Genomic DNA, 8,582 nt, shown 5'->3' on the forward strand with positions numbered 1-8,582 from the left:
CCACCGCGCCCGGCCAAAGCTATTTTTTTCTAACATCTGTAGTCAAGTCATCAGGCAAAGTCATTGCTCTTCTAGAGTATTCCTCTGCCTTAGATGAAAACCCCTACAAGCCATCCTAACTGTATCTCAGTAGCTTTCCCAGGTAGCCCTCAAATTTTTTTTAATTTTAATTTTTTTTTTTTTGTAAACTCAACTCTCTGTTTCCTTGGAACACAGACTCTGGAATCAGAACTGTTTTAATTTAAAAGCCTTTTAAACTTCCAGGCCTCTGAAAGCCTTGTTTTTCCTGACTCCACCGTCCTTATCTTTCCATTATTCATCTGCATTCCACTCACTCTTAACTCCCAAGAGGGTCACCTATCCTAAAAATGTTGTTATTTGCCAATCATTTCCCACCTTGGTGTAAAAGTAGCATTGGATTTGGAGGATACTTGACTGTAGTGTTGCAATCTACAAGCTGTGCACACTTGGGCAAGCATCTTAACCCTTCTGAGTCTCAATTTCCTTGTCTGTTAAAAATGAGAGAATAACTGCTGTCATGTCTTGGTACCTCACTGGCTTGCAAGCTTTAGATCAAACAATGGTTGTGAAAACAACTTAGAAACTGAAATAGATGGTTATTTTCAGGACACCTGTGGTTAGCATGGTTACCACCCACACTAACGCTTCCTCCCCCCATTAGGCACCAAGCATTGATTCCTTCTTAAACACTCTAGCCCTGGGCTATCGGTGGGTGGGGAAAGCATTGTTCTTCCTATCTTCTTGACATGTTGATCTTGGCTTAAGACTTGTTGCCCTTAGGTCTTTTCAATCAGTATCTAGGGGGAGCCACTCCCTTGGCTTCTCAAAAGCTTCTTGTCAGGTGCTCTTTAGATACTATGTAGCTTCTACCTTCAGGCCAGCTTTGTCCTGTCTAGTGAAAAGTGGTTATTGTGGGGGAAGGGGAAAAGGGAACATTTCCAACCTCTTCCTCCCTTGCACCAGAACTCCCAGGGTCCCCAGACTCCAATTTTTCAGGCATAGTTTCTTTACATCCATCAGAGTCTACCCTATAAGATATTTTAGACTGATCCCAGGCAGGTAAGTTACATTTTGCAGAGATTTCACTTATTCCCAAAGTGGTGTCAGCTGGTTGGTAATTACAAAACCCAGGACTTCCCCCGCCTTTGTGGTCAAAAAACACTCTCAGCGTTTGCCTCTCTCCTTGACCCCAGCTTCCAGACTGCTTTCGAGTCTGCACTGAAATCTCCTGAGGGAGTTCCCCAGCTTTAATTTGGCCAGATGCTCAGTGTCCTGCTCAAATTGCACTCAGCATTTTTTTTTTTCACTTTGAATAGCTTTTGCACAGACTGTTAGATTCACTCAAACCTGCCCCCGTCTTGAGCTAGTTCTTCCTGCTGGAAGTAGTTGTCTTATTGCAGGCTGAGGAACCCTGATTAGTTTATTGCCAGGTTTAGTCTTTTCCTCATTCAGAATCCTCTTTATATTTATCATAGAGGGCTTCCACCACTGGCTTTGCATAGTTGATCTTTTTGCAGTAGGTGCTCGGTAAGTATTCCTCAAGTTGAAATGGAATTGGAATTTAACACAAAAAATCACCATCTTCTGGAGCAAGACTGGGGAAATTACTGTCCACCAGTGGCTGGTTTTTGCGAAACCTCAGCTCTCCCTCTCTATATGTGTGTGTGTGTGTGTGTGTGTGTGTGTGTGTGTATACACATTTTTAAAGGGTTGTTAAAAGAAACAAAGATTATACAACAGAGACTAGATATGTAGCTCACAGTGCCTAAAATATTTACTGTTTGGTTCATTACAGAAAAAGTGTGTTGACTTCTAGAGTTTTCCTTAGTATCCAAAAACAGAGTTTGAAGCAGTTTTAACCCTATCACCTTCTCTTCCAAGGTTACAGGAAACTTCTGACTTTTATCGCCCCATTTTACCATCTCTATCTATCCCTTGCATTCAGTTTCCAGTCTAGCCATGGAGAGTTTAAAAGGTTTCTGTTCTACCTCCTGAACTCACATTTCATTTCTTTCCCAGCAAGTAACTTCCTTCGGTAAAACCAGCTCCCTGCTCCCTCCCCTCCTGCCTCTAATTAATATCCTTTTGGCTTTTGTGGACACTTCGGAAAGTGAGAGCTCCTTGCTCATTTTCACAGTCTCAGAAAAATGCTCAGGGTAATTTGAAGACAGAGCAGATGTTAAATATGGGGAGATTTTTGTGGACGACTAAACCATGGAGACACTTAAAATCCCCCTGCAAATGGAGACTAACTCTGTTTCACCCACAAGGTGATTTATTTCCATAGCTCTTTGGAAGAAGGCAGGATCAGTTTACTAGGGCTCAGCTTACTCAGCAGAAGGGCTAATCTCCTCTGTTAAAATGTATTTTCTGCTGAATTTAATCTTACTCTCATTGGTTTTCCTTGTGCACTACCTTCCTAGTTACCAGGGTAGGCCACACCTAAAGAATGTTGCCAGACTCAAACAAAGAACATTAGCTATTAGTCCAAACACAGATACTTACTGAATAACTGTTAAATACCTAGCATGTGATTGGTGCCATGTAGGGTACAAAGAAGTCTAAAATTGGACTCCAAACCTCCAAAAATTCCAGTATAGCTGGAGAGACAAAATGTTTAAATAACTATGCAAGGGGTTCTATAATACAATCCTGATGAGTGAATGGCTTTAATTTAATATTTATTATTAATTAAATATTAATTTATATTTAATTAATATTAAATATTTATGTATATTAAAAAATATAAAACTGTTACTTTATTCTGAATAAATGGTCACTGCAACCATGCCTTTTGTAATAGAGAAGAGAGAGATCATTATGAGCTTTGAGTATCAAAGAAGGTACATAGTAGGTGTTCAATGCAGATTCTTTGAATGACTTTATGAAGAGAGGTTGGGAAAAGCTTTCCAACCTCATAGAATAATAGCATTACCAAAGGCTTATAATCAGAAAAAGTTTGGTTTGTTTGCAATACAAGTGAGCAGCCCGGCCTGGTTGGAGCAGATAATTTGTTAGAGGTTAGGAAAAGTTAAATTCAGCTCTGTAAGTTAGGACCAAATTTTTGAGGAACTTGAATGCCAACTAGAGCAATTGGAACTTGTTCTTTCAGAGGTTTTGGAGACTGATGGGAGTGGTATTTTACAGAGCACCCTGGTGGTGGTTCAGAATGGTTTAGAGGGTGTATAAACAAGAGGCTGGGAAGACTTTATAGACCATTAAGAACCAAGAAGACTAACGCCAGGAGTATACAATATCTTATTTATTCTGTTCGTTCTCCTTGGTGCATACATGCTATTGTGTCCGGAACTGGTGGGTTCTTGGTCTCACTGACTTCAAGAATGAAGCCGTGGACCCTCGCAGTGAGTGTTAACAGTTCTTAAAGGCGGCGTGTCTGGAGTTTGTTCCTTCTGATGTTGAGATGCGTTTGGAGTTTCTTCCTTCTGGTGGGTTCGTGGTCTTGCTGGCTCAGAAGTGAAGCTACAGACCTTCGCAGTGAGTGTTACAGCTCATAAAGGCAGTGTGGACCCAAAGAGTGAGCAGTAGCAAGATTTATTGCAAAGAGCAAAAGAATAAAACTTCCACAGTGTGGAAGGGGACCCGAGTGGGTTGCCTCTGCTGAATCCGGCAGCCTGCATTTATTCTCTTATCTGGCCCCACCCACATCCTGCTGATTGGTAGAGCCGAGTGGTCCGTTTTGACAGGGCGCTGATTGGTGTGTTTACAATCCCTGAGCTAGACACAAAGGTTCTCCACGTCCCCACCAGATTAGCTAGATGAAGAGTGTAGACACAAAGGTTCTCCAAGGCCCCACCAGAATAGCTAGATACAGAGTGTCAATTGGTGCATTCACAAACCCTGAGCTAGACACAGGGTGCTGATTGGTGTGTTTACAAACTTTGAGCTAGATACAGAGTGCCGATTGGTGTATTTACAATCCCTGAGCTAGACATAAAGGTTCTCCACCTCCCCACTAGACTCAGGAGCCCAGCTGGCTTCACTCAGTGGATCCCGCACAGGGGCTGCAGGTGGAGCTGCCTGCCAGTCCCGCACCTCCACCGGCACTCCTCAGCCCTTGGGTGGTCCATGGGACTGGGCGCCATGGAGCAGGGGTCGGCGCTCATCGGGGAGGCTCCTGCCGCACAGGAGCCCACGGAGCGGGTGGGAGGCTCAGGCATGGCGGGCTGCAGGTCCCGAGCCCTGCCCCGCGGCAAGGCAGCTAAGGCCCGGCAAGAAATTGAGCACAGCAGCTGCTGGCCCAGGTGCTAAGCCCCTCACTGCCCGGGGCGGTGGGGCCGGCCGGCTAGTCCCAGCGTGGGGTCCTCCGAGCCCACGCCTACCCGGAACTCATGCTGGCCGGCAAGCACCACACGCAGCCCCGCTTCCCGCCCATGCCTGTCCCTCCACACCTCCCCTCAAGCTGAGGGAGCCGGCTCCGGCCTTGGCCAGCCCAGAAAGGGGCTCCCACAGTGCAGCGGCGGGCTGAAGGGCTCCTCAAGTGCTGCCGAAGTGGGAGCCCAGGCAGAGGAAGTGCTGAGATCGAGCAAGGGCTGTGAGGACTGCCAGCATGCTGTCACCTCTCACTATTTAACTAGCGAGAAAGACTGACAAATACAAAGTTTGACTTCCTTGAGTCTTTTACCATCCTCTGAAAAATACCTTAACTGCTGTATATGTCAGATTTTGCAGCCAAATCGACACACCCATGCTGGGTTAAGAGCAGCTAGACTGTGCTGGTAGTGCATATTCAGCAGGTGGCAGGACCATGAAAGTGTTTTAAAGATACCTGGAAGTTTCTCTCCCTTAAAAATGCCTCTGGTAGCTGCTCTTGAAGATTCAGAAGCCAAAGATGTCTTATGGCCTCAAAGAATGACAAGTGAACATGGTGGCTAATAATTCCAAAATCAATACCACCTGCTAGATCTCTTACAAGATCCATGTATCAAGCTGCCTACTGGAACCCTCTGAATGTTTGATAGGCACCTCAAATTAGAATGTATAAAACCAGACAGGTGCTAGTTTCAACATTTCAACATTTCTGAACATCTGAAGTCCCAGCTACTTAGGAGGCTGAGGTGGGAGTATTGCTTGAGTCCAGGAGTTCGGGGCCATAGTATGCGATGCTGATTGGGTGTCCACACTAAGTTTGGCATCAATATGGTGACTTCCCAGGAGTTGGGGACTACCAGGTGGCCTAAGGAGGGGTGAATCAGCCCAGGTCGGAAATGAAGCAGACCAAAAACTACTGTGCTGGTCACTAGTGGGATCACGCCTGTAAGTAGTGGGCAATATAGAGACCTGGGCAACATAGAGAGACCCTGTATGAAAAAAAAAAAAGAATATATAAAAACCAAACATATAATCTGCCTCCATCGCTACCCATTAATCTGTTATGCCTCTGTCTGTATGCCTCATCTCCATGAATGGTACCACTAATTGCCTAGTTACCCAGAGAGGTCACAAAACACAGATTTACAAAAATCTTTCCCTCCTCCTCACCATGCACAATCAATCATTAAAATACCTCAGAGCTTTGAGATATTTTACAGATTTGAGATATTTTACTGATTGATTAAATATGGGTGGTAAGGAAGAGATATTGATTGAATATTTTAGTGATTGATTAAATCTTGCCACTCCTCCATGTACAGGGCTTAAGTAGTGCCCCATATTCCTCTCGAGGTAAAACCCAGACTCCTTAGTTTGGTTCACAAGCCTTCTAGCATATCTCACTTTTCTTTCCAACTCATGCCTTGTGTTCCATTCACACAGAACAGCTACTCCTTCCTTAAGTGCCTGCTCATGCCCCAGTGCCTTAGCACATATTGTGTGCACACTCTCTCTCTGGAAATTCTTACCTCTTCTTTGCTTCTTTATTTACTACTTGTCATTCAAGATAGCTTAACCATAACCTGTTTGAGAAACCCTTCCTGAACCCTCCTAGTGTGGGTCAGATGTTCCTCTGTGGTCCCTGTGGTACTCTAGTCATACTTTGAATAGAAAAGGAATCACATTCCATTATATTGTAATGGTCTGTTTGTCTCTTCCAAAGGAAAATGAGTTATTTGAAGGAAAGGGCCCGTGTCTTTTTTTTCTGTTAACAATATCTACATCCTTTAAAGTATTTGTAATTGGAATAGATCGGTGAATGAATTTAAACATATTCAAAGTGACATATAAAGGGATGATACCTGACCCCTTATGGAGTCAGGTACCTGACTGAGGGGAGAAGGTAGAGCATGATAGAAAATGGGTTCTCTAATCATGAATATGGGAATCAAATCAAGGTAAATACAGCCTATTTCATCAATTTGCCAAACAGCAGGTTTGGTAGGTACAGAGCAAAGAAAGCATGAAGGTGGCAGTGGACTTAAAATATGGGGAAGATGTTATTATGTGGAACATTAGGGGATGCCATGAACAGAGAAAAAGTCACACTGAAGGTCCCACAGAAACTGCCCATCATTGGAGAGGGCAAGCCCTGGCAAGATAGGAATCTCTGTTCCAAAAGAGAAACAGTCCAGCCTAACCAGGAGAAATAGCTGACTTCCTGGGAGGGTAGAGCACAACAGGATGCTGGAAGTTAACAGAAGGCTACTGCTCACCCAGGGGAAAATAGACATTGCGTATAGAAGGAAAAAGATTTTCAGACTTTCGGTCACAAGAAAGCATCTGAGTGAAAGCATCGTTAACCACCTCCCCCTTTCCCCCAACCTGAGTGACTCAGAATGAGAGTTCTTTAGACTTGGGCAAGATAAGGTATGAGATAGTCTGGTCTTGAGGCACTGCCTGCATGATATGATTTGATGGAAAATAGGTTCTAAGTTGCTAGAGGGCATGGACATACTGTACCCTTTTCGGCATCATCCCATAAGGCTCAAGGCAGAATCCTGCACATAGAAGGCATTCCTTCCATCTGTAACATGTCAAATGAGGCAGTGTGGTATAGAAGAAAGAGTACTGACTGGAAATCAGAGAGGCATGAAGAGCTTGTTCTACCTTTGACGCATTCCTGCTTTCTGCCCGTGGGCAAGTCACTTCAGTTCTCTGGCCCTCAGTTTCCTGCTCTTTAAAATGAACATGTGGGCCAGGCGCGGTGGCTCACGCCTGTAATCCCAGCACTTTGGGAGGCCGAGGCGGGTGGATCATGAGGTCAGGAGATCGAGACCATCCTGGCTATCACGGTGAATCCCCGCAGAGGAACATCTGGTCTCTACTAAAAATACAAAAAATTAGCCGGGCGTGGTGGCGGGAGCCTGTAGTCCCAGCTACTCGGGAGGCTGAGGCAGGAGAGTGGCGTGAACCCGGGAGGCAGAGCTTGCAGTGAGCCGAGATTGTGCCACTGCACTCTAGCCTGGGCGACAGAGCGAGACTCCATGTCAAAAAAAAAAAAAAAATGAACATGTGAATATCCACTTCACAAGGTCCTTGTAAAGAATACAGTAAGCTAGATTCGAGGGTTTTTTTCACCTCTAAGATATCCCACTTTAAAAATAAATGATTCTTCTGAGGGATCATATCTCAAGACATCACCGTGTTATAAGTTACCACAGCCAGCCAAAGGAAGACTATGACAAAGACCCAAGGTAAGAAGCACCTTACTAGGGTAAACAGAGGGGAGAAGGTAGAGCATGATAGAAAATGGGATCTCTAATCATGAATATGGGAATCAAATCAAGGTAAATACAGCCTATTTCATCAATTTGCCAAGGACTTCACATAATAGCAGCACAATATCGCCAAGTGATGAGGCCTAGGCTCTGTTACTGAGGTAGACTTTTAATTGGTCTTAAATATGTACACTACAGACACTCACACCATAAACCATGAGGTGAAGGCCTCATATTGTGATATAAAATGAACTGTGTATTTTATTAAATTTTGGGAATGAAACAGTGCCACAGTGTGGTCCATGTACAGAGTTTGATAAAGTGTGTGAGGAGCTACTCATTTTATAGCAGGGGAGATGTCATTGGTAATATGGCTTTACCAGGAAATATATGGGCAGGAAATAAAATGAAAGCTATCCTGGAACCTTCTCCCTTTCCCCTTCCCCATTCCCCTTCCCTTGGAACCTTAAAAAGAAGAAGGAGCTGTCTGAATGACTGTGTTCTTGGATAAATATTATGTAGAGTAGTCAGAAATGCCAGGAGACATCTTGTCTTTAAAGCACTTACATACTCTGCATACATGAGCAAATAAGACAAAAACTAGATATGGTTGCAGGTCACAGGACAGAGAAAGGCATCTGTGGGGCCCTAGAAATTACCTACTCCATCACAGAAAACTGAAGTCAGCTTTAAAGCAAGAAAATGGCCTGTCTTATCTTTGTATTTTCCCAGGGCTTAGCATAGTGCCTGGCACATGTTAGTTATTCGGTAAATGTCTTTTGGATTCCCAAGTAAGGGCTGGTATTAGTTTTCTAGCGCTGCCATAACTAAGTGAGACAAACTGGGTGGTTTAAAGCAACAGAAATTATTTTGTCACAGTTCTAGAGGCCCGAAGCCCCAAATCAAGGTGCTGGCAGGGCCAGGTTCTCTCTGAAGCTCCTAGGGGAGGAT

General features: G+C 44.2%; 1 pseudogene, besides 2 other annotated features; it reads left to right on the top strand.

Annotated features, from left to right (window-relative positions):
* Positions 241-1,023: an enhancer, noted in NCBI's record as "NANOG hESC enhancer chrX:112094284-112095066 (GRCh37/hg19 assembly coordinates)". NCBI's record gives its function as "activates a minimal SCP1, AML or CMV promoter by ChIP-STARR-seq in naive H9 embryonic stem cells {active_cell/tissue: H9 hESC(naive)}" and the evidence as "EXISTENCE:reporter gene assay evidence [ECO:0000049][PMID:30033119]".
* Positions 857-966: an enhancer, noted in NCBI's record as "active region_29864". NCBI's record gives its function as "activates an Ori minimal core promoter by ATAC-STARR-seq in GM12878 lymphoblastoid cells {active_cell/tissue: GM12878}" and the evidence as "EXISTENCE:reporter gene assay evidence [ECO:0000049][PMID:35858748]".
* On the top strand, positions 5,059-5,347 carry RN7SL266P (RNA, 7SL, cytoplasmic 266, pseudogene; annotated as a pseudogene).

Source organism: Homo sapiens, chromosome X, assembly GCF_000001405.40.
Source record: "Homo sapiens chromosome X, GRCh38.p14 Primary Assembly".
Lineage (NCBI taxonomy): Eukaryota > Metazoa > Chordata > Mammalia > Primates > Hominidae > Homo > Homo sapiens.